This window comes from Homo sapiens, chromosome 16, assembly GCF_000001405.40.
Source record: "Homo sapiens chromosome 16, GRCh38.p14 Primary Assembly".
NCBI lineage: Eukaryota > Metazoa > Chordata > Mammalia > Primates > Hominidae > Homo > Homo sapiens.
In genome coordinates, this window is record NC_000016.10 from 21,299,776 (window position 1) to 21,325,582 (window position 25,807).

The 25,807-nt window shown below is 42.1% G+C and overlaps 1 protein-coding gene and 1 pseudogene across 2 annotated transcripts in view, besides 2 other annotated features; one reads left to right on the forward strand and one right to left on the reverse strand.

Annotated features, from left to right (window-relative positions):
* CRYM (crystallin mu) overlaps positions 1–3,287 on the reverse strand; it is a 44,542-nt gene extending 41,255 nt beyond the window's left edge. The window contains exon 1 of the mRNA NM_001888.5: positions 3,203–3,287. The gene's annotated coding sequence lies outside the window, so the exon portion shown is untranslated. The remainder of the gene's footprint in view (positions 1–3,202) is intronic.
* ABCA15P (ATP binding cassette subfamily A member 15, pseudogene) lies at positions 1,074–18,816 on the forward strand (annotated as a pseudogene). The gene is made up of 3 exons (NR_026675.1): positions 1,074–1,560; positions 16,109–16,195; positions 17,087–18,816. The product of NR_026675.1 is annotated as an ATP binding cassette subfamily A member 15, pseudogene (transcript).
* Positions 1,911–2,170: a silencer, noted in NCBI's record as "silent region_7250". NCBI's record gives its function as "represses an Ori minimal core promoter by ATAC-STARR-seq in GM12878 lymphoblastoid cells {active_cell/tissue: GM12878}" and the evidence as "EXISTENCE:reporter gene assay evidence [ECO:0000049][PMID:35858748]".
* Positions 2,613–3,201: an enhancer, noted in NCBI's record as "OCT4-NANOG hESC enhancer chr16:21313709-21314297 (GRCh37/hg19 assembly coordinates)". NCBI's record gives its function as "activates a minimal SCP1, AML or CMV promoter by ChIP-STARR-seq in primed H9 embryonic stem cells {active_cell/tissue: H9 hESC(primed)}" and the evidence as "EXISTENCE:reporter gene assay evidence [ECO:0000049][PMID:30033119]".
* Positions 18,817–25,807: the final 6,991 nt, after the last annotated feature.

Here is a 25,807-nt window from a genome sequence, read left to right on the forward strand (position 1 = left end):
CAGGTCATATTGCCTTTTGTATTAACCTCCTCTATCCACCCCTTCAAGTATATAGTTAAGTAAATGTAGCAATATTTTGGTGATTTCAAATTAAGTGTGTAAGATTATTCACCGGTCCTATTATCCTTTCTTGAGTAGTGTCTTAAAACACAAGAACCAAGGGATCCTTAACTGCTACATTCCCAGCAAGGACTGGGGAAAGGTGATGGTAGAAATCTTGCCCTTGTAACATTGCATGTTAAGTAAGAGAGCACTAATGGTGGGGAGTATTTGGGATTCGGGCATTTGGAATGGGAGCCTGGCATTGTTGGGAGGAGCAGCAGCGTTAGGTTACTTTCCAAACACCCCTAGAGTTTAATTGCCTTGATTTCTTCCCCTAAATCCGACTATTAGTCCATGTCCATCAAGAGATGGCCTCCTCTCACTTTCTCAATTCTCTGTTCTTCCGCCTTCTCACCTCACCCTTCTGTGCCTTTTGTCCTCCAACATACACTTGATAGGAGTGGGGGAGTGGAGGAGAGGCTCATCTGAGTTGGGGGCTGAAGGGGAGATTGCAATGGTAACTGTGTTTTTATTGCTGTTGTTAAAGGTGTTTGGCATTTTGGAGCAAGCTAAAGAGCAATTTGATTTAGAAGACTATTCTGTCAGATCACACTGGAACAAGTCTTCCTGACCTTTGCTAACCCAGAGAAATCATCCAGTGATGATGAAAACGAGGTGCCATGAGATTCCCTCTTAAAAAAAAAAAAAAAACAGAAAAAGAAAAAAAAAAGAAATGCCCTACACGTGAGTCCCAATAAACTCATCTACTCATCAAGCTGGACTGGTCTGAGTCATTCTTTGGTCTGTTGGCTCCTTTCCCAGTTTGGGGCGGAGGATGTTCTATACAGTCCTGGATTTTTCCCCAACCAGGAAGAGAACTCCTTGTCCTGCAGTGTTCCTCTTGCGCCCTCTCCTGACAAAGCTTAACTTCGGAGCTGGAGCAAGTCGTATCCGGCATTGCAGGGAAGAGTGAATTTGGCCTGTGATCCAATCAGAAGCTGCGATTCTAAACAGGAAGCCACACTGGATGCGAGAATTGGGGTGGGGCGCGCCAAGAGGAGCAAGCATTATAGAACGTGGGGAGCATGAGAAATACACGGAGGTGGAAACGCCGGAGTGGCTGGCGGGTAAAGGCAGCGGGCGCAGATGAAGCGGGCTGGGCGTCCCACGCGCAGAACCGTCCCGGACAGAAGCCGCAGGGCTGCGCTGGCTGGAAAAAGGAACGCGAGTACAGCGCGCGTGGCGCGGGGTCTGCTCCAGGACGGAATCTTTTGGGTGGCCCGCATGAGGGGTTTGCAGGACCCCGGGCCTTTGGGAAGTTATCTGCTAAACTCCAGTAGACCCTGAGGAGCAGCGGCTCATGAATCTTCTTAAACTTCTGTCATCAGCGGCTGGGCCAGCTGAAGGTGACCATGGCACACGAGGGAGAGAGAAGCCCGCGAGAGGCGGAGAAATGTGGGGTCGTCCAGGAGGGTCGACAAGGCAAAGAACCTGAAGACGACCCAAAAGGGTACCTAGGTGGGGCCCTTTCAGGGACTTGGGGCATAGGGTAGGGCGCATGGGACGAGGTGGGTGAGCGCAAGGGACGAGATGGGTGTGCGCATGGGACGAGGTGGGTGGGAGCATGAGACGAGGTGGGTGGGGCGGTGGGTGAGGTCTCCGCCCCCAGACGGGCTGGCGAGGAAGCAGGGAAGAAGTAACGTTGGGCTGGTGAGGCAACAGGTGGGGCGCACTGGAGCTGCGGGATAATAGGTGGAACAAACTGGGGACTACACTCGTGGGCGCACGTGCGGAAGAGGGACTGAGGAGGTTCTTGCGTGCTCCCCTCGAGCACCGCCGACAGCTTCACCCGCACCTCCTGCCTTCCGCACCGCTGACTCCTACCGCTCCGCGCACTGCGCGCCCCCAGCCCTAGTGCAGCCAGCTCCCGGCCGGGTCCGCGCGAGGGCCAGGCTGCCAACCTGCCCGCGGGCGGCTGGTGGTTGGGGAGGGCGTTGGGAGGAGGAGTCCCGCCGGGTGGACGCGCGCCCTTCAGCGGCGGAGGCGGAGGCGGCAGCGGCGAGGCCTGAGGGTGCGTGCTAGGGAGTCCTGGCGCGTCCTTCTTCTGCCGGCGTCCCCCTGCGCTTGCAGCTGCTCCCCGACGCCCGGGAGGCCCACCCGCTAGCCGCGATGGGCGCGCAGAGCCCAAAAGGGCGACCCCCAAACAAAACTCACGCATATAAATCCTCCAGAGACTTCCTCATCCCCCCGCCAACACACACACACCCACACACACATACACACAATCAAATCAAATAGAAGCACTGTTAGGAATTTTATATTGGCTATGCAAAGTGCTTGAACGCACTGACTTTGGAGGCAAATGCCTTGTCCCTAGTCCTGACTAGTCCAGAATTTATTTGCTGTGACCTATGGCAAATTGCTTGGTTTCTCTAAGCCTCCATTTCCTAAGGCTTATATCTGAAAATAACTATAAGAGGAAAGGATGCTATTGTATCCAACTCAGAGGGCAGTCCTGATACTTACATTGCGAGAACATGTTAAGTGTTCCATAAATGGCAGAAGGGGCTGTGGAAGTTCAGTGATTATAGGTAGTTTAATTTGTCTTAGTTTTCCTTTGTGAAAGCATAAATTACACCAGAGAAAGTCACATATGTAAGGAATACTTTATGCAAAGCTGTTGTCCTAGGGAAGAGAGACCAGAACTCAGTCTAAACTAACTCTGCTGAAACAAAGTGGGGCAGGGTTTTTAAGCTCTAGGATGAGAGTAGAAAGGTGCTGGAGGGCTGTCGGAAGCATACTGAGTTGTTTGCTGAGTTTACAAGTGTTTCCTCCGTGATTAGGCCAGCTGTGTTTGCTAATTGGCTCTCAGGGAAGTTAGGCTCCTACCCTCCCACAGAAACTGGGAGATAGGGGGACCGTCTTCCTTGATGATTGCATTTCAAAGGAATGGCTCCCAGGTCCTTGACAAAGATGATTCTGGTTTGTAAAACTAGTAAGAGGCTATTAAAAAGAGTTACAGATATCTCAAGACAGAGAAAGAATTTACAGTGAAAAGCTTTCTAAAGAAAATGCTCTGTATTAATCTGTTTTCACACTGCTGATAAAGACATACCCAAGACTGGGCAATTTACAAAAGAAAGAGGTTTATTGGACTTACAGTTCCACGTGGCTGAGGAGGCCTCACAATCACGGCAGAAGGTGAAAGGTATATCTCACATAGTGGCAGACAAGAAAGCTTGTGCAGGGAAACTCCCCATTTGAAAACCATCAGTTCTTATGAGACTTACTCACTATCATGAGAAGAGCACGGGAACAACCCATCCCCATGATTCAGTCATCACTCACAGGGTCCCTCCCATAACACGTGGGAATTATGGGAGCTACAAGATGAGATTTGGGTGTGGACACAGAGTCAAACCATATCATGCTCTAAGAAAAGAAAGTTTTGGGCCTAGAGTCAGGAAAAAGCCTTTTCAAGTCAAGCTGAGAACTTTAAGGTGGTCTTGGCTACCTCATTTTATGCAAAGTAGGCAGAAAATTTAAAAGAAAAGAAACATATTTAAGTACAATTAAGAAAATTACAGTGTTTCAGTTAAAGCAGTTCAGTGCTTTTTAGAAAAGGAGCTGAAATTAAATAGTAAGTATAAATTTAATTCTAATAATTCAGGGCTATGAACCATGTAATTGCTTAATTTCCAATAACTATTTGTTCTTTTGCGACTACAGTTTGGCAGGTTGCCCTAATAATTTTCAGGCATTTTAGGTTCATGCTCCTTCCAACCCTCCTTTTCCCTTACAAGGGTTGCATCCAAGTTATGAGGGATAAGGGTGGGGGGTGTTTCATATTTAGGACCAGGATGTTGATGTGTACTTATTCCTGGCCAGGCTGTTTTGGAGTCAGGACTCTTGCGCTATAAGATCCCCCAAATCTATTTTGGGAATAGTGAAAGGGATGGGATGATGCTGAGGAGCCGGGCTTCGGCATTTCCTTATTGTGCATTATTTCCAATCCGTTGTTTTACCCTGGAAAGGGTCAACTGAAAGAACTGGCCATTGTCTTTGTAGGTATTAAGTATTGCTCTGTCTTCCCCGAGACCAAAAAATAAAAGATTGAATGAGGGATGGTACTGAATTGAAAACTTATGGTTAATATTCCAAAACATTACCCACTAAAAGAGCAAGAGAAAAAAGTTAGTGGGAGAGTGTTTCAGATGATTCCTTCTTCACAGGTTTACCTGTTCCCCCACCTGAAGAGTTAATTAGAAAAACAATACAGGTACATTACATAAAATTCAAACTCTATAGACATACAATTTGTAAAATGTGTAAGTCCCCCATTTTCCACCTCCTGAGGACATACTATCAACAGATCTTCTACCATTTTTCTTTTCTGTACATGTACTTCTTTTCTCTACATATATATTTTTCCAAACAATGTGTTTATATCATGTATAATATTTTGCAGTTTACTTTTTCTACCTTAGTAGTATATTATCCTCTCATGACAGTGTATCTATATCTATCCCTTCTTTGTAACAGAGGAACAGGATTTTATTGAAGGTATTGGCATGATTTATGTAATCATTCTTTCTGTTTTCATTTGATCTTACTGTTTTCCAGTGTTATCATGAACATCTTTCTGCCTGAATCTTTGTTTTGCTATGGTTTTGCTTTATGAACTTTGTTTCTAGGTTTGTTTGCTTTTTTTTTAAATAGCCTTTAAGACTTGGATCTGCTGCATAAATTCCTTTAAAGTTTGCAGACATGTATTGAGTGTATTGATCAGCTGCACTAAGGAGTAAGCACCTGATGTGAAGCCCCCTTCCATGAAAAATCCTTTAAGAATGGCATAGTTGTGAAGTTGGAAGGCTGTATGAATCACAAATTGATTTTACCCCATCACCACATCAGCCAAACACCTGCTCTGCCATTTTGATTAAGATTCGTCATGTATTTCATGCCAGTAATCCCAGCACTTTGGGAAGCCAAGGCAGTTGGATCACCTGAGGTCAGGAGTTTGAGACCAGCCTCAACAACATGGTTAAACCCCATCTCTACTAAAAACACAAAAAATTAGCCAGGCGTGATGGCACGCACCTGTAATCCCAGCTACTTGGGAGGCTGAGGCAGGACAATCGCTTGAACCCGGGAGGTGAAGGTTGCAGTGAGACGAGATCGCGCCATTGCACTCCAGCCTGGGCAACAAGAGCAAAACTCCATCTCAAAAAAAAAAAAAAATTAATCATGTATTAATTGAGATTTGCAGGGCCGTGTGCTTTATATAAAACAATGCACAATGCACTAAGCTCCATGGTGTTTGAGAGACAAAGGAGAACAAGATACCATCCCCACCACTGGGTAGTTTAAGATTATTGTCTGTATCCAGTATATAGCAATTGTAATGATTTCTAAAATGTTTTTCTATTGAGATACAGTTTACATGAAATGAAGTGCTCAGATTTTGAGTGACAGTTTGATCAGTTTCAAAGAATGTGCACACCTAATCAAGACACAGAACATTTCTGTAACACCAGAAAATTCCCTCTTGCCCTTTCCTAATCAATCACAAACCCCTCCCCTATAACCATTGATGTCATTTTTGCCTATACCTTTATATGAATGGAATCATGCAGAAGATACTATTTTGGGTATCTTACTTTGTCTTCCTTGTACCCCTTTGTGAAATCCTCCCATGCCTAGACCTCGACAACTGCTGGTCTGTTTTCTGCCCCTGTAGTTTTGTATGAATTCTTTACGTATTCTGTTTGCCCAGGCTGGAGTGCAGTGGTGTGATCTCAGCTCACTGCAACCTCTGCCTCCCAGGTTCAAGCAATCCTCCCACCCCAGCCTCCTGAGTAGCTAAGGTTACAGGCATGTGCCACCACACCTGGCTAATTTTTTTTGTATTTTTTATCAGATATGTATTGTGAATAAATACCTATTGTGAATAAAATTCTTTATTAGATATGTATTATGAATATTTTCTTTCTCCACTTGCATTTCTGTTTCCTTAGCAGTATCTTTACAAGAGTACATTTTTTTTTTTGTATTTTAATGGAGTTTAATTTACCAATTTTTCCTTTATGGCTCATACCTTGGGTATGCAAAGTAAGAAATCCCTACCCCCTTGAAGGTAACAGAGATTTTCTCCTAAGTTTCTTCATTTTATTCATTCCTCCTGTTTTCTTTTAAATTTGTACTTTTAGCTTCCTTCATTTAGGTCTGTGACCCATCTCGAGTTAATTTCTTGTTCCTAGTATGAGGTAAAGTTGGTGCTATTGTTTTTCCCCCATAAGGATATTCAGTTATTCCAGCACTGTTTTTTTTAAAGACTTCTCTTTGTTCCCTTGGTACTTTTGTGGGAAAAAAAAATTGACCATCTTAGTGTGGGTCTATTTCTGGACTCCGTTCAGTTTCATTGATGTATGTATCTGTGTCTTCACCAATACCACACAGTTTTAATTACAGTAATTTTATATATCTTGAAATCAGATAGTATAAGACCTCTAGTTTTGTTCTTTTCTAAAGTTGTTTTTGACTATTCCAGCACTAGAATTTCTACACAGTTGCTTATTGGAACTTTGATGGGATTGTATTTATTTTCATAAAGGCTCACCTACAATGTGTTGTAAAGCTTCTGAAAGTAAGTAATGACTTGTCAGTTTTAATTGACACTATGGTTATGAGTGAATATGAGGATCTTTTGTTATGTTTGAGGACTATTTTTCTTTGAACTGTTTTTTTTTTTCATTTTTCAAATTTTTTTTATTATACTTTGAGTTCTGGGGTACATGTACAGAACGTGCAGTTTTGTTACATAGGTATACACGTGCCATGGTGGTTTGCTGCACCCATCAACCCATCACTACATTAGGTATTTCTCCTAATGCTGTCCCTCCCCTAGCCCTCCACCCACCGACAGGCTCCAGTGTGTGATGCTGCCCTCCCTGCGTCCATGTGTTCTCACTGTTCAACTCCCATTTATGAGTGAGAACATGGGGTGTTTGGTTTTCTGTTCTTGTGTTAGTTTGCTTAGAATGATGGCTTCCAGCTTCATCCATGTCCCTGCAAAGAACATGAACTCATCCTTTTTATGGCTGCATAGTATTCCATGGTGCATATATGCCACACTTTCTTTATCCAGTCTGTCATTGGTGTACACTTAGGTTGGTTCCAAGTCTTTGCTATTGTGAATAGTGCAATTCACGTACGTGTGCACGTATCTTTATAGTAGAATGATTTATAATCCTTTGGGTATACACCCAGTAATGGGATTGCTGGGTCAAATGGTATTTCTAGTTCTAGATCCTTCAGGAATCACCACACTGTCTTCTACAATGGTTGAACTAATTTATACTTCCACCAACAGTGTAAAAGCATTCCTATTTCTCCACATCCTCTCCAGCATCTGTTGTTTCCTGGCTTTTTAATGATCACCATTCTAACTGGCATAAGATGGTATCTCATTGTGGCTTTGATTTGCATTTCTCTAATGACCAGTGATGATGAGCTTTTTTCCATATGTTTGTTGGCTGCATAAATGTCTTCTTTTGAGAAGTGTCTGTTCATATCTATCACCCACTTTTTGATGGGGAGAACATTTTTGCAATCCATCTGACAAAGGGCTAATATCCAGAATCTACAAATAAATTAAACAAATTTTTTTTTCATTTTTCTAATGGTTATCCCTCCCCCTTCAATTTATAGACCTCTTCATATATATATATGTATATATATGTGTGTATATATACATATATGTGTATATATGTGTGTATATATACATATATGTGTATATATATACGTATATATATATATATGTGTATATATATACGTATATATATGTGTATATATATGTATATATATATGTGTATATATATATATGAGAGATTAGCCCTTTATCTGTGATACAAGTTATTTTCTCCCAGTTTGTTATTTATCTTTTGGCTTTGTGTTGACATTTACTTCATAAAACATATTTGTAAGTACTATGTTATCAGACTTATCTTGATACTAGATTTTGATTCATGGAGACTTTTCCCACTCCCACATTTTATATTTTTCCAAATGACTATCCATTTGTTACAACACCATTTACTATAAAGTAGAATTTTTTCCCAGTTAGTTGGGATGTTACCTATATAATAAACTAAATTTCTATATGTATTTTGGTTTATTTCTAGACTTTCTATTCTGTTCCATTTGGCTGTCTTTCAATTTACGTACCAGTACAACACATTTTTAACTACAGAGACTTTATAGTATGTTTTAATATTTGGTAGAGCTAGTTGCACAGCTTTTCCTATACGTTGTCTTCTAGTAGTTTTATAGTTTCAGGTATTACATTTAAGAATTTAATCCGAATGGCCAGGCGTGGTGGCTCACGCCTGTAATCCCAGCACTTTGGGAGGCCGAGGCAGGCAGATTACGAGGTCAGGAGATCGAGACCATCCTGGCTAACACAGTGAAACCCTGTCTCTACTAAAAATACAAAAAATTAGCCAGGCCCACGTGGTGGTGGGTGCCTGTAGTCCCAGCTACTCGGGAGGCTGAGGCAGGAGAATGGCATGAACCTGGGAGGCAGAGCTTGCAGTGAGCGGAGATCATGCCACCGCACTCCAGCCTGGGCGACAGAGTGAGACTCTGTCTCAAAAAAAAGAAAAGGAAAAAAAAAAAGAATTTAATCCATTTTGAGTTGATTTTGTACATGGTATAAGAGTCTAATTTCATTCTTTTGCATGTATAATCCACATTTCTAAACTCCATTTATTAAAGACACTATCTTTTCTCCCATTGTGTGTTCTTGGCATCTTTGTCAAAAATCCATTAATTGGTGGTAAATGTGTGAGTTTATTTTGGGGCTATCTATTGTCTTCCTTTGGTCTATGTGTCTGTTTTTATAGCAGTACCATGCTGTTTTGATTACTGTAGATTTGTAATATATTTTGAAGTCAGGAAGTATGATGCCTCCATTTTGTTCATTTTCCTCAAAAATGTTTTAGATATTTGGGGTTTTGTGGTACAATAAAAATTTTATGACTTTTAATCTATTTCTTTGAAAAGTGTCATTGGGATTTTGATAGGGATTGCATTCAATCTGTAGATCACTTTTGGTAGTATGGACATTTTAACAATATTGTTTCAATCCATGAACATGGAATATCTTTCTTTTTATTTGTGTCTTCAAGTTCTTTCATCAATGTTTTATGATTTTCAATATACAGCTCTTTCACTTCCTTGGCTATATTTGTTCATAAGTATTTTTCATAGCTATCGTAAATACAGTTGCCTTTTTTATTTCACTTCAGATGGTTTAATGCTAATGTATAGAAACTTTTTTTTTTTTTTTTTTGAGACAGTTTCGCTTTTGTTTCCCAGGCTGGAGTGCAATGGCGAAATCTCGGCTCACTGCAACCTCCGCCTCCCAGATTCAAGTGATTCTCCTGTCTCAGTCCCCCAAGTAGCTGGGATTACAGATGTGTGCTACCATGCCTGGCTAACTTTGTATTTTTAGTAGAGATGGGGTTTCACCATGTTGGTCAGGCTGGTCTTGAACTTCTGACTTCAAGTGAGCCAATTGCTTCAGCCTCCCAAAGTGCTGAGATTACAGGTGTGAGCCACCATGCCCGGCTGAAACTATTATTTTTGTATGTTGACTTTATATCCTGTAACTTTATTGTATTTTATTAGTTCTAGCAGTGTTTTCACTGACATTTTAGGGTTTTCATGTTATCTGCAAACAGGAACCATTTGGCTTCTTCTTTTCCAATTTGGATGGCTTCTCTTTCTTTTTTTGCCTGATTGCTCTGGCTAGGTCTTCCATTACTATATTGAATAGGAGTCGTAAGAGTGGACATCTTTGTACCTTTCCTGAGATACTTTTGGAAAAAGCTTTCTATTTTTTACTCTTGTGTATGATATTAATGGTGAGCTTGTCATATATAGTCTTTATTGTGTTGAGTTACATTCCTTCAGTGCCTAATATGGTTAGAGTTTTTATCATGAAAGGATATTGAATTTTGTCAAATGCTTCTTCTGCATCTGTTGAGATAATATATGGTCTTTGTCCTTTATTCTGTTAATGTGGTGTATTAATATTTACTTGCATATGTTGAACCATCCTTGGATCTCAAAGATAAGTCTCACTTTATTGTGGTGAGTGAATGATCCTTTTAATATGCTGTTGAATTCAGTTTGCTAGTATTTTGTTGAGGATTTTTGCATCTATGTTCATCAGGGATATTAGCCTGTAATTTTTTTTTTTTTTTTGAGATGGAGTCTCACTCTGTTGCCCAGGCTGGAGCGCAGTGGCATGATATCAGCTTACTGCAACCTCTGCCGCCTCCCACGTTCAAACAATTCTCTTGCCTCAGCCTCCCGAGTAGCTGGGATCACAGGCATGTGCTACCATGCTCAGCTAATTTTTGTATTTTTAGTAGAGATGGGGTTTCACCACGTTGGCCAGGCTGGTCTCAGACTCCTGCCCTGCTCATCTCGGCCTCCCAAAGTGCTGGGATTACAGTCATGAGCCACCGTGCCTGGCCAGCCTGTAATTTTCTTGTATGTCCTTGTCTGGCTTTGGTGTCACGATAGTGCTGGCTTCATAAGATGTGTTTGGAAATATTTTTTCTTCAACTTTTTGGAGTTTGATAAGGATTGGTCCTATTTCTTATTTAAATGTTTTGTAGAATTCAGCCCAGAAGCCATCTGATTCTAGGCTTTTCTTTAATGGGAGACTTTTTATTACTGATTCAATCTTTTTTTTTAATCAGTCTATTTGTTATCAGTCTGTTGTCAGTCTATTTTATCAGTCTGTTATCAGTCTGTTCAGATTTTCTTTTTCTTTGTGATTAATACTTGGTAGGATTAATACAGGTAGGAATTTTTTCATTTCTTCTAGGTTATCTAATTTGTTGACATAATTGTCATCATAGTCTCTAATGATAATTTGTATGTCTGTAGTATCCATTATAATGTTTCCTTTTTTATTTCTGATTTTACTTGAATCTCCTCTCCTTTTTTATTAGTTATTCTAGCTAAAAGTTTGTCTGTTTTATCTTTTTCACAAGTTTTGTTGATTTTTTTTCTATTGTTTCTTTAGTCTCTATTTCATTTATTTCTGCTCTGATCTTTATTTTATCCTTCCTTCTGTGAACTTTGTGCTTAGTTTGTCCTTGTTTTCCTAGTTCCTGGTTTTCTAGTTTCCAATTGTAGTTCCTATACCTAGTTTCTAGTTATAATGTTAGGGTGTTTGAGATCTTTCTTCTTTTTTGATGTAGATGTTTATTGCTATAAACTTCACTCTTAGAACCATTTTTGCTGTATACTATATATCTTATATATTTTTGTATGTTGTGTTTCCGTCTTCATTTGCCTCAAGATATTTTTAAATGATCCCTTTAATTTCTACATTGACCCATTGGTTGTTTGGGAGAATGTTGTTTAATTACCATATGCGTCTGCATTTTCTGAAATTCTGTCTATTTTTGATTGTTAGTATAATACCATTGTGGCCGGAAAAGGTATTTGAAATGGATTTCAGGCTTCATAAATTTATTAAGATTTATCTTGTGGCCTAACATATGAACTCTCCTGGAGAACGTTCTGTGTGTGCTTGAGAAGAATGTGTACAATTGACCCCCCCATATCTGTGTGTTCTACATCCACAGATTCAACTCTGGGCCAAAAATAGTAAAAAAATAATAATATGATAATAATGCAAATAAAAAGCAATACAGTGTAACAAATATTTATATAGATTTTATATTAGGTACTATGAGTATCTAGAGAAAATCTGAGGCATAAGGAGTATGTGTGTAGATTATATGCAAATACTACACCATTTTATATAAGACATTGAGCATCCATGGATTTTGCTATCCTCAGGGGTCTAGAACTAGGCATTAGCATTGTGCCTAGTTGGGGCTTACCTGTAGCCTGTGTCCACTGGTGCCAGCCTGGAGGCTGGGTGTATGGTTGCTAGTCCAGAAGCTAGGTCTGTGAAGAACTGAGTCCTGGAGCCATGGTAGTGTCCCCAGAATTGGTGGGTTCTTGGTCTCACTGACTTCAAGAATGAACCCACGGACCCTCGCGGTGAGTGTTACAGCTCTTAAGGTGGCGCGTCTGGAGTCTGTCCTTTCTGATGTTCAGATGTGTTCGGAGTTTCTTCCTTCTGGTGGGTTCGTGGTCTCGCTGGCTCAGGAGTGAAGCTGCAGACCTTCGCAGTGAGTGTTACAGCTCTTAAGGCAGCGCGTCTGGAGTTGTTCGTTCCTCCCGGTGGGTTCGTGGTCTCGCTGGGCTCAGGAGTGAACCTGCAGATCTTCGCGGTGAGTGTTACGGCTCATAAAAGCAGCGTGGACCCAACGAGTGAGCAGTAGCAAGATTTATTGCAAAGAGCGAAAGAACAAAGCTTTCACAGTGTGGAAGGGGACCCGGGCGGGTTGCCAATGCTGGCTAGGGCAGCCTGCTTTTATTCTCTTATCTGGCCCCACCTACATCCTGCTGATTGGTAGAGCTGAGTGGCCTGTTTTGTCAGGGCGCTGATTGGTGCGTTTACAATCCCTGAGCTAGATACAAAGGTTCTCCACGTCCCCATCAGATTAGTTAGATACAGAGTTTCGATTGGTGCACTCACAAACCTTGAGCTAAACACAGGGTGCTGATTGGTGTGTTTACAAACCTTGAGCTAGATACAGAGTGCTGATTGGTGTATTTACAATCCTTGAGCTAGACATAAAGGTTCTCCAAGGCCCCACCAGAGCAGCTAGATACAGAGTGTTGATTGGTGCACTCACAAACCTTGAGCTAAACACAGGGTGCTGATTGGTGTATTTACAATCCCTGAGCTAGATATAAAGACTCTCCACATCCCCACCAGACTCAGGAGCCCAGCTGGCTTCACCTAGTGGATCCCGCACCAGGGCTGCAGGTGGAGCTGCCTGCCAGTCCCGCGCCGTGTGCTCGCATTCCTCAGCCCTTGGGTGGTCGATGGGACTGGGTGCCATGGAGCAGGGGGTGATGCTCGTGGGGGAGGCTCGGGCTGCACAGGAGCCCATGGAGTGGGTGGGAGGCTCAGGCATGGCGGGCTGCAGGTCCCAAGCCCTGCCCCGCGGTAAGGCAGCTAAGGCTCGGTGAGAAATGGAGTGCAGCACCGGTGGGCTGGCACTGCCGGGGGACCCAGTACATCCTCTGCAGCCACTGGCCTGGGTGCTAAGTCCCTCACTGCCCGGGGCCAGCAGGGCTGGCTGGCTGCTCCGAGTGCGGGGCCCGCCAAGTCCACGCCCACCCGGAACTCCAGCTGGCCCACAAGCGCCGCAGGCAGCCTCGGTTCCCGCTCGCGCCTCTCCCTCCACACCTCCCTGCAAGCTGAGGGAGTGGGCTCCAGCCTTGGCCAGCCCAGAAATGGGCTACCACAGTGCAGCGGCGGGCCAAAGGGCTCCTCAAGTGCCGCCAAAGTGGGAGCCCAGGCAGAGGAGGCGCCGAGAGCGAGTGAGGGCTGTGAGGACTGCCAGCACGCTGTCACCTCTCATTAGGACCTGGGTTCACAAGGCTTGGCACAGGGAAGGCCTGGGCCCTGTGTTTGCAGGTGCCTGCCAGGTGTTTGAGCCCAGGTGTGCCATCCTTGTTCTAGGATGGGGCTGAAGCCCAGGGCCACTGGGGCCTGCCTAGTGCTTGGGTCAGCCTACTGCAGGGGCAGGACCAGAGACCAAGTCCACCAGGCTGGGCTGGAACCTGGGACTGCAGAATCTGGCCTGACATTAGTATGGGCTTGGAGGCTCAGTTTGCTGATACTAGCCTGGCAATGGGTAAGCCTGGAGCCTGTATCCATAGGGGCCAGCCTGGCAGCTGGGTCTACCAGGTAGGCCCAGAACCTGGAGCTGTGAGATCTAGCCTGGTGCTAGGGCAGACGTGAAGGCTCAGTCCCCGACTTATTTTCTTGATGTTAGGTTAGATTTTGATGGGCAGAAATTTTAGATTTTGATAAAGCCCCTTTTTTATGGTTTGTGTCCTTAGTATCCATTTTAAGAAATCGCTGCCTACCCCAAGGTCAGAAAGATATTCTGTAGTAATAGTAGAGATTTTAAAGTATCTTATGTTCATCTTATGTCATATTCAGAAAAATTGCTTGTAGGAGTAGTTGACTATAGCATTTTGTTATTTTTTTCCAGAGAGGATTCATTTTTTATACTAGGCAGCTGTCAGTACTTGCAATCTTGGGAGCGCCCTCATCCAGTATCAAGGATTGAGATAATTTGAAGCCGGGATTTGTAGAAGCTAAAAGGATTGAGATTATTTGCAGTCCCAGGGAAGGTCAATCTCCTTTAGGTTTCTCCTTACTTATAAAGTCAAGTCCTAATCTAATCCCTTCCATTCTTGGCTCTGAATTCCAGCTCTCTTTCTCGTAGCCCCAAGAATTTAAGTCAGATATTCATGGTCACATAGTTGTGAAATCCCACATGGTAGTGGTACGATTTCAACCTAGGCAGTCTAACTTCAGATCCTGGGTTATTAAAAGGAACCTTCCACGTCACCCCTACCATGAGGGATGAGTTTCATTTGTTTTGTTTCCCATTGTACACCCACACCTCACATGACATGTAGTAGGTATTCAGAAAATATTCAATATAAGAATGAACCTTCTCTTGGTCCATTTGGGATACTATAGCAAGATACCACAGACTATGTGGCTTAAAAACAGTAGTTTATTGCTTACAGTTCTGATGGCTGTGAAGTCCAAGATCAAGGTGGCAGCACATTCCTTGTCTAGTGAGGACCCCTTTCCTGGTTGGCCTGTCTTTTCTTTGTGTCCTCACATGGTGGAAGGAATGAGGGATCTCTGTGGGGACTCTTTTATAAGGGAACTCATCCCATTCTAATACCTCTCTAAATCCCCACTTCATTTTTATTTTTATTTATTTAATTTTTTGAGATAGAGTTTCACTCGTTGCCCAGATAGAGTTTCACTCTTGTTGCCCAGGCTGGAGTGCAATGGCGCAATCTCAGCACACTGCAACCTCTGCCTCCCTGGTTCAAGTGATTCTCCTGCTTCGATTCTCCTGCCTCAGCCTCCCGAATAGCTGGGATTACAGGTGTCCACTACCAGGCCCGGCTAATGTTTTGTATTTTTAGTAGAGACAGGGTTTCACCATGTTGGCCAGGCTGGTCCAAACTCCTGACCTCAGGTGATCCACCCGCCTCGGCCTCCCAAAGTGTTGGGATTACAGGCATGAGCCACTGTGCCTGGCCCCTAAATCCCCACTTCAAAATACCTTAACCTTGGGTGTTAGGATTTAACATATGAAGTCAGAGGAACATAAACATTCAGTTCATTGCAAATCTGTTCCCCTTAGCAATACTATTAATGGTAGTTACTTCCAATCTGATAGATTATTGAATAGCATTTTGGGCTTATAGTTGTGCTGTGATTTTCTATACTGTTTTGTTGCTTTGCCATTGGTGGTGACTTACTTGTTTTTTGTTGTTTTTAAATTAGTATTTCCATGGGGATTGGGAAAGCTACTGGCAAGATTTACCTGGAAACTTGCATCAACAACTTACTGATCTTTGTTTTGTGGTTGGTATTTTATTCATATTAGAAGCTCCATAAATGTTGACTAAATTAAAAATGTAGGTTGGGAGGCTGAGGCGGGCGGATCACTTGAGGTCAGCAGTTCGAGACCAGCCAGGCAAACGTGGTGAAACCCCATCTCTACTAAAAATACAACAATTAGCCGGGCATGGTGGCAGACGCCTGTAATCCCAGCTATTCAGGCGGCTGAGGCAGAAGAATCACTTGAACCCGGGAGGAAGAGGTTGCAGCGAGCTGAGACTGCACCACTGCAGCGTGGGTGACAGAGTGAGACTCTGTCTCAAAAAAAAAAATAGGGATAAACAACTGCTCAAATATTTTAAATCTGTATATTTCTTATTTTAAATATTAAATATTTCTTGTCTTTAAAGCTTGATTATAAAATTAAGTAATTTAAATTTAAGTGATGTGCTTGTCTAAAATTTACACATCATTAGATAATCTTTTCTTTTTAAAAAATATTTACTCCCTCCATAGAGTTGAACTTCCTCTCTTTTTAGAAGAATGGATTTCTCGGAGTCTGAAAAATTTATGGTTCTTCTCTGGAAGAATTTTATTTTAAAGGTAAGTTGAACTACCTATAGGGTTATTACAACAGCTCAGTGGCCACAGGGGGAAATTCTGACAGCTTGATCCTTGAATTTCAATTTTTACTGTTTTACTTTTCTCAGTATGAAGGCTAGGTTATCTCTTCCAAATATAGAGTTCACACAGAGAGAGATTAATAGCAGGATGTTATGTAGAAAGGAGAAAAAAGTCTAGGAAACTGCTGCTATTATAGAGTAAAGCTGTGTTTTTGGCAATCTATATATTCTTTTATGAAGTATCTTTTATCTTAATATAAAAGAATTACAGTTATACACAATACAGGACTATTCAGCCATGAAAAAGAATGAGATCCTCTCATTTGCAACAACATAGGTGGAACTGGAGGTCATCATGTAAAGTGAGATAAGCCAGGCACAGAAAGACAAACTTTGCATGTTCTCACTTATTGGTAGAAACTAAAAATTAAAACAATTGAACTCATGGAGATGGAGAGTAGAAGGATGGTTAACAGAGGCTGGGAAGGGGTAGCTTGGGGTAGGTAAGGGGGAAGTGGAGATGTTTAATGGGTACAAAAAAAACTTGAAAGCATGGATAAGGCAGTATTTGCTAGCACAACAGAATGACTAGAGTCAAAAATAATTTGATTGCACATTTAAAAATATCTAAAAGAGTGTAATTGGATTGTTTGTAACACAAGGGATAAATGCTTGAGGGAATGGATACCCAATTTACCTTGATGTGATTATTATGCATTGTGTGCCTGTATCAAAATATCTCACGTAACCCATAAATATGTATACCTGCTATGTACCCACGAAAATTAAAAATTAAAAAATTCAAAAATGAACTTGCAAAGTTAATAACCTCTTAGGGCAATTAACATAATCTTTTTTCTTCTTCTTCTAGAGGCGGCGATGTATTGCTTTAGTTGTGGAAATGGTCCTCACATTTCTGTTTAGTGCTGCGCTTTTGGCAACACGCTCTGTTATTACTATAAATAAGAACGGACCTTTCGATTTTGCTGCTCAGCCTGTCGATGAAGTGCCTTTCTACATCACAGCTTCCTTAATTTCTCCTTCTCCTTTGGAATTGGCTTACGTGCCTTCCAGAAGTACTGTGGTTCAGGGTATTATTGAAAGAGTGAAAATGGATTTAAACCCTCAAATGAAAGGTTAGAAATTAACATTTTCTGAAAAAACATACAGAATTACTAAATCGATTTAGTGAAGACATACTTACAACCTTATTAACTGGTTCTTAACCTCCCAAGTAAAACATCGTTGGAATCCTCATACTAAGTATAAATATTATGGACTTTGTTAAACTTGAAAGTTAAATTTATATAAAATATTTTGTTCATAGAGCCCAGAACAAATAGTAATATTTCAAAATGAGATGACCAATTATTATTATTATTCTAAGTTGTTATCCAGTTTTGTGATACTGTTTTTTCTATCTGGTTGTGCTTCTTGAACCTGGGTAAGTATACCTCCAGGGGTGTGTGATTTTGTGCCACAGGTCAGTGGTCAGTTATTTAAAATAATGTTTTATATTAAAATGTGGTGTGAGTAATATAGGAAGGCTTTAGAAAACACTTAAGCTATGTAGAATTATTTTAAAAGCCCTCAGTCTCTCACTTACCTTCATATTCCCGGATCAGTTTCTTACCTCTTTCTCTTAGAGGTAAATACTGTGAGAAGTTTAGGTCGGCCGGGCCCAGTGGCTCACGCCTGTAATCCCAGCATTTTGGGAGGCTGAGGTGGGCAGATCACCTGAGGTCAGGAGTTCAAGACCAGCCTGGCCAACATGGCAAAACCCCATCTCTACTAAAAATATAAGAATTAGCCAGACATGGTGGTATGCACCTATAGTCCCAGCTACTTGGGAGGCTGAGGCATGCGAATTGCTTGAACCCAGGAGGAGGAGGAGGTTGCAGTGAGGTGAAATTGCACCACTGCACTCCAGCCTGGGTGACAGACCAAGACTCTGTCTCAAAAAAAAAAAAAAAAAAGTTTGTGGGCATCTCCCTAGCACACCTCTCTCTACACATGTGCGTGCATGTGCACACACACACACACACACACACACACACACAGTCAGGCAACTTTTCCATCTTTTTTTGTCTTTCAAGAGATATGAGAGTCCTTGAGAGTAGATGCCATCTCAAAGCATTCTTTTTTGTTGTTTGCTTTTTTTTATCAAAGCATTCTTTAAAATAAAGACTGAAACAGGAGAATATGAAGTTCCCAGTAATTTTTAAATTCTACAACAAAAATATCTCAACAAATTTAAAGTCTATTATGGGTTACTCCAATAGTCGCTTTGGGTTACTCAAAATATTTTCTGATTTCCACTCTGATGTCTTCTTTGATGCATGGAATTTCAAAATTTTTAGAAATGTGTTGCTGAACTTCCAAACACTGGGGGCTTCTTATCTTTCTGTTGTTGATTTCTGTTTTAATTTCCTTTCATCAGAGAGTATACTCAATTCCAGTTCTTTGACATTTTGAGAACTGTTTATGACTAGTACATGGTATATTTTGATAAATGTTTTCTGTGAATTTGTAAAAACTATGTGTGCTATAGGTTTTGCTTCTGGTGTTCTATAAATGCCACCTGGGCAAAGTTGGCTAAGTGTCATGCTTTTCAAGTCATCTGTATTCTTTTTTTTTTTTTTTGGTCTGCTTATTATATCAGTCATTGAAAGAAGTACCTGAAATAATACCTGATTTCCAGTCAGGTATTATTAGGATTAAATAGGTTATATATTGTATATATTAATTTTTTTTTTCTTGAGACGGAGTCTCGCTCTGTCACCAGGCTGGAGTGCAGTGGCGCGATCTCGGCTCACTGCAACCTCCCACCTCCCAGGTTCAAGCGATTCCCCTGCCTCAGCCTCCCAAGTAGCTGGGACTACAGGCGCCTGCCACCACGCCTGGCTAATTGTTTGTATTTTTAGTAGAGACCATGTTGGCTAGGATGGTCTGGATCTCTTGACCTTGTGATCTACCCCCTCAGCCTCCCAAAGTGCTGGGATTACAGGTATGAGCCACCGTGCCCAGCCTGTATATATTAAAATTTATACATTTTTAAGATATTAAAATTTCCAACTGAGATTTAGCTATTTTTCTTTTTGCTTATTTATTTTGAATTACAGTTCATGTGATCCTTCCATTGAATAATTTTAAAAACAATATTTTTCAGTTCTGGAATTTCCATTTATCTCTATTTTGAATAGGTTCCAGGTCTCTTGGAAAATGTACCATTTTTGAGTTTATTAACCATATCAACCATAGTTACTTTAAAGTCTCTGCCAGGAAGTTCTGGTATCTGGATTACTTGTTTATCTTTTTTTTTTTCTTTTATGCCATTGAGTTCTATTTTGTAACATGCCTTGTATATTTTTATCAAATCCAAGATGTTGCAGATGAAAAATTTTGAAGGCTCTTGGGGATATTTCTTTATCCAAAGAGGGTTAAATTTTCTTTTGGATCATTATTAGAGTACTGGTAACTCCCTCTGCCCCCACTGAAGGCTGGTTTTAGCTTCACTAAAGACTGCCCTATTTCTGTTTTCTCTTTACTTCTGGGCATAATCCTGGTCCTAGTGCGTGATTGATCCTTACTCCTAAGGCATGACCATTCCATGATTTCAACTGAAAGTCGGGGGTTCAAGAAGGCTCCTTACCTGTGGGGCTTGAACTCCATCCTCTGTCTCCCCAGCCTGGTGCTGCTGCTGAAATCACTGCTCAGCATTTTTGCCCTCCAGCCACTGTCATCTACCTGCCTGTACTCACTTGGAAGACTAGAAGTTCATACCCAGGCTTTCGCCCCTCTTCCTGGGTACACATAGTTAATTAAGGCAGCTGACAGTCAAAGATGAATACCCGGGGCGGATGCAGTGGTTCACACCTGTAATCCCAGCACTTTGGGAGGCAGAGGCGGGAGTTCACAAGGTCGGGAGATCGAGACCATCCTGGCTAACATGATGAAACCCCCATCTCTACTAAAAATACAAAAAATTAGCCAGGTGTGGTGGCAGGTGCCTGTAGTCCCAGCTACTCGGGAGACTGAGGCAGGAGAATCGCTTGAACCCAGGAGGCAGAGGTTGCAGTGAGCTGAGATCGCAACACTACACTCCAGTCTGGGTGACAGAGCAAGACTCAATCTCAAAAAAAAAAAAAAAAAAAAGAGAGAAATAAAAAGATGAATACCCAGGGAAAACATTTTAGATATCTGATGAGACCAGGAACAATGAAAGGAAGAAAGAAAATGGAACCTCCTATACCAGGAGAAGCAGAACTAGTGTAACTACTGGAGGGGTGAGGAGAAGAGCTGCCCAGGCATCTGGAGTTTCAGCTGGGGTTCAGCTCTGCCCCATCACCCCAGGCTGAGGCATTGCTTTCTTATGCATGACCATTATGGAAAGAACAACTATCCCCAGTCTAGGCTTTCAGGACATGGTTACATGTTTATGTGTGTTTAATGCTCTCCTTATTGGGGCTAAGCAAGTTGGGTATATATTGGAATGAAAAAAGTTGAAAGTTAGATTCTTTTAGGGTTGGGTTTTTTGTTTGTTTTGTTTTGGCCAGGTCACTAGGATTGAAGGTGGGAGAGACAAATGAATTGAAGAATTGGAAGAGTTATTGAAGACATAGGTCCTGGAATCTAAATTGGAAAGGAAACGAAGTTAGGAAAAGAATGATTTTAGATGTCAAGTGATGGGAATGTAAAATGGCTCTTGATCAAAGACCTCTGAAGCTTCACATCATATAACCAGTGCATCACCAGCTCCATACATCAATATCGCTCTACAGCAGTTTCTCTAGGACAATGGTCCCCAACCTTTTTGGCACCAAGGACCAGTTGCATAGAAGACAATTTTTCCACAGACCAGTGGCAGAGGGATGGTTTCAGGGTGATTCAAGCACATCACATTTATTGTGTACTTTATTTCTATTATTACATAGTAATATATAATGAAATAATTATACAACTCACCATAATGTAAAATCAGCAGGAGGCCTGAACTTGTGTTCCTGAAACTAGGCAATCCTATCTGGGGATGATGGGAGACAGTGACAGATCATCAGGCATTAGATTCTCAAAAGGAGCTTGCAGCCTAGATCCCTTACATACGTAGTTCACAATAGGGTTTGCGCTTCTATGAGAATCGAATGCCTCCGCTGATCTGATGGGAGGCAAAGCTCAGCTGGCAATGCAAGTGATGGGGAGCAGCTGTAAATACAGATGAAGCTTTGCTCGCTCACCGGCCGCTCACCTCCTGCTGTGTGATATGGTTCCTAACAGGCCATGGACCGGTACCAGTCCATGGCCTGGGGTTTGGGGGCCCCTGCTCTAGGACAAACCAAAATAAACTATACTTCCTCACTTGGAAAATGAAAATAATAATAGTGTCTTATTTATAGGGTAGTTGTGTATATGTGAAGTATTTAGAGCAGTTCTCAGCACATGGTAAGTACTCAGTAAAGACTAGATTTATTGGCCAGCCGGGTGCAGTGGCTCATGCTTGTAATCCCAGCACTTTGGGAGGCTAAGGCGGGTGGATCATGAGGTCAGGAGATTGAGAGCAGCCTGTCCAACATGGTGAAACCCCGTCTCTACTATTAAAAACACAAAAATTAGCTGGGTGTGGTGGCGGGCACCTATAGTTCCAGCTACTCTATTACTGAGACCAGCCTGACCAACATGGGTAAACCCCATCTCTACTAAAAATACTAAATTAGCCAGACGTGGTGGTGCATGCCTGTAATCCCAGCTACTCAAGAGGCTGAGGCAGGAGAATCACTTGAACCTGGGAGGTGGAGGTTACAGTGAGCCGAGATCGTGCCACTGCGATCCAGACTGCGCGGCAGAATGAGACTCCATCAAAAAAAAAAAAAAAAAAAAAAAGACTGGATTTATTATTACTATAGGAAACACAACTTTCTGCTCTGCCACCATCTGTGCTGAGTATCACCATAAGGCCAGCCTGCCAGTGACTATTTGGAAAAGCTGTAGCATCTAGCAATACTTCCAACGTGTCTTCTGTTTCCCAAATAGTAATACAAAATATGAAACAAAATGAACAGTAGAGGAAACATTTTGAACAGGAAACCATGTCTATCTCCTCTGTAAACCTGTCCATTTGAAATGTGGATTACTGCATCTTGGATTCATTCAAGGCAATGGAAATAACCAAACTTTCTGCCTTCAACTACCTGGTCCAAGGAAATCAATCCTGTCTTTCCTCTCTAATCTTAATCTTCCCACCTGGATCTTGTGGTTTTAAGCCTGCCTAGTCATAAAGGCCAACTGCAAATATTTCAGCTTTATTGGAACTCAAGAGCATTCTGGGTTTGTTCTTTGTGATTCTTCCCTTTTATTTCACTTCCACCTAACTTTTAACCTTTTTTTTTTTTTTTTTTTTGAGATGGAGGAGTGTCACTCTGTCACCCAAGCTGGACTGCAGTGACCCAATCTCGGCTCACTTGGCAACCTCCACTTCCCGAGTTCAAGCAATTCTCCTGCCTCAGCCTCTTGAGTATCTGGGACTACAGGCACCTGCTACCACACCTGGCTATTTTTTTTGTATTTTTGTTAGAGATAGGGTTTCACTATGTTGGTCAGGTTGGTCTTGAACTCCTGACCTCAAATGATCCACCTGCCTCTGCCTCCCAAAGTGCTGGGAATACAGGCGTAAGCCCCTGCGCCTGGCCGCTTTTAACGTTTGATGTTATATTCCATTTCCAGCATCTAGCTCTTAAATTTTGATATTATGTTCTATTTCCAGCTGTGTCCTTTTTTTTTTTTTTTTTGAGACAGAGTTTCACTCTTGTTGCCCAGGCTGGAGTGCAATGGTGTGATCTCGGCTCACTGCAACCTCTGCCTCCCAGGTTCAAGTAATTCTCCTGCCTCAGCCTCTCGAGTAGCTGGGATTACAGGCATGCACCACCACATCCAGCTAATTTTGTATTTTTAGTAGAGATGGGGTTTATCCATGTTGGTCAGGCTGGTCTCAAACTCCTGATCTCAGGTGATCCACCCACCTCGGCCTCCCAAGGTGCTGGGATTACAGGCGTGAGCCACCGCGCCCAGCCTACCTTTTTTATTCTTAAGAGTGGACTTAGTTTTACCAACTTTGATGATTTGAATTCTCTGAGGCCCATGTCTCCTCCTGCTCCTGACCAGCTCTTGTAGGTTCCCCCCTGATTCCAGCCCCCAAGAAGCTACTTTCAGCTTTGAAATTTATGTGCCAGCTTTGCCTACCCCCTGAGAAAGGGAGATTAGATCAGGTGCTTTGCATCTGGTATTTTGCAGTTTTACCAAAAGTGATGATTATGACCCCTCAGCGTAATTTCATAGCCACCAACAATGTTCTTAGGTTTGGATAGCAATCCAAATATACTTTAAGCTACCATCAGATTAAACTGTCTTAAGAAAGTAGAATTAACTGTCATTATTTGTGGATTCTGAATTTGTGAATTCAACAACTCACTAAAATTTATGTGTAACTCAAAATCAGTAACTGTTTCACTTTTGAGGTCATTTGCAGACATGCAGGGAGTGGCAAAAAATTTTGAGTTCTCCAAGGGTGGTTCCCAGCCTTGGCCAGGTCAAAGAAGATGACACCCTGTCCACCTTGTTTCAACCCTCATACTGCAAACAAGTATTCTTGACTTGATATAGTTAGTGCCTTTTTTTTTTTTTTTTTGCATCTTTGTTCTTTATGTTGGTGATTTTGTTGTTTAATGTCAGCCCCAGGCATAGTGCTGAAGTACTGTCTCATGTTCCTAAGTGCAAAAGGGCTATGATTATGTCTTTTTTTTTTTTTTTTTTTTTTTTTTTTGAGACAGATTCTTACTCTGTTGCCCATGCTGGAGTGCAATGGCGTGATCTCGGCTCACTGCAACCTCCACCTCCCCCAGCTCAAGCCATTCTCCTGTCTCAGCCTCCTGAGTAGATGAAACTACAGGCACACACCACTGCACCCAGCTACAGTTTTATATTTTAGGAGAGATGGGGTTTCACCAAGTTGGCCAGGCTGGTCTAGAACTCCTGATCTCAAGGGATCTGCCCACCTTGGCCTCCCAAAGCGCTGGGATTACAGGCATGATCCACTGTGCCTGGCCCTGATTATGTCTTTTGGAGAAAATATCTATGTTAGAGAAGCTTAATTCAGGCATGAGTTATACTGCTGCTGGCTGTGAGGTCAGTGTTAGTGAATCAACAGTATGTATTAAATAAGGTGTCTTTAAACGGAAACACCCCAAAAAACAGGTCGTGTATTGATCAATTGATGAAAATGTGACCAGAGGCTTGCAGGAACCTAGGAGTATTTTCCCTAGGAGTAATCTTTCAGTATTCCCTAACTCAAGTGTCTGTGATGACTTTATAGAACATAACCAAGAATGATGAAAATGGATGGTGTCCAGGATGGGAACATAACATGTACAGCATCAGCACTTTCATATGAAAGTCTCCCAACAGCACAGGTGCAGCTGTACGTTCCACCAGTACACAGGGCACATTCAGTTCAAGAGCTGAGGTCGATACGGTGTAGACTCTGTAATTATATGGAAGCCTCCACTTTTGTTTGCCAGAATTTGTGCAAAGTCCTACTTACTTTCTTCTCAAGTCAAGTGTAGTCTCTAGACGAGATATATGGCAGCAAACAATGTTGATGATGAGTTCCAGGCACTGCTAACATTCTGTATTTTTAAACTCAGCACATACCTAGGCACAGTGCTGCCAGAGAGTAAACTCATAGTTATCTTAGTGGGTACACCTGGGTCCAGGAAAATAGGATTTATGTTTGCTATTTACCCTTTCCTCACAATAATAAATCTGCAGGTTTTTTTTTTTTTTTTTTTTTTTGAGACAGAGTTTTGCAGTTGTCGCCCAGGCTAGAGTGCAGTGGTGCGATCTTGGCTCACTGCAACCTCTGCCTCCCAGTTTCAAGGATTCTCCTGCCTCAGCCTCCCAAGTAGCTAGGATTACAAGCATGCACCACCACGCCCAGCTAATTTTTTGTATTTTTTAGTAGAGATGGGGTTTCACCATGTTGGCCAGGCTGGTCTTGAACTCCTGGCCTCAAGTGGTCCACCCGCCTCTGCATCCCAAAGTGCTGGGATTACAGGTATGAGCCACCACACCTGGCCAAAATCTGCAGTTTTATATCAAAATGTATCATCAGTGACAGTCCCTAAGGGCAATTGCATGTTTTTCTGACACCATAGTTGTATCACAATATATCACAACTGTTAGCATTATGGACTAGAAAAGCAGTACATTTACTGTTTTTTCAAAACTAATTGGACTATCCTTGATACCTACCATCCCCAGCCTGTTTGAGATGCAGTAAGGGGCTCAGGTTGGTGCCAAAATATTGGGCACACCCTCAGCCATGAGTTACCATGATTAGCGGCAAGCGCAGATGAAGCCTTGTCCTGGTGTGTGCCCTTGGGTTCTTTGAAGCTGATGAGTGATTTAGAACATTGGCAGCCAAGTATAAGCTGGTCATATGGAGTCACACATGAAGCTGAGAGATGTCTGATTCATCTCATCATGAAAGCTGTTACTCTTATCAAAATTTCATCAACTTTGGGGAATGATTATGTTGCTGACT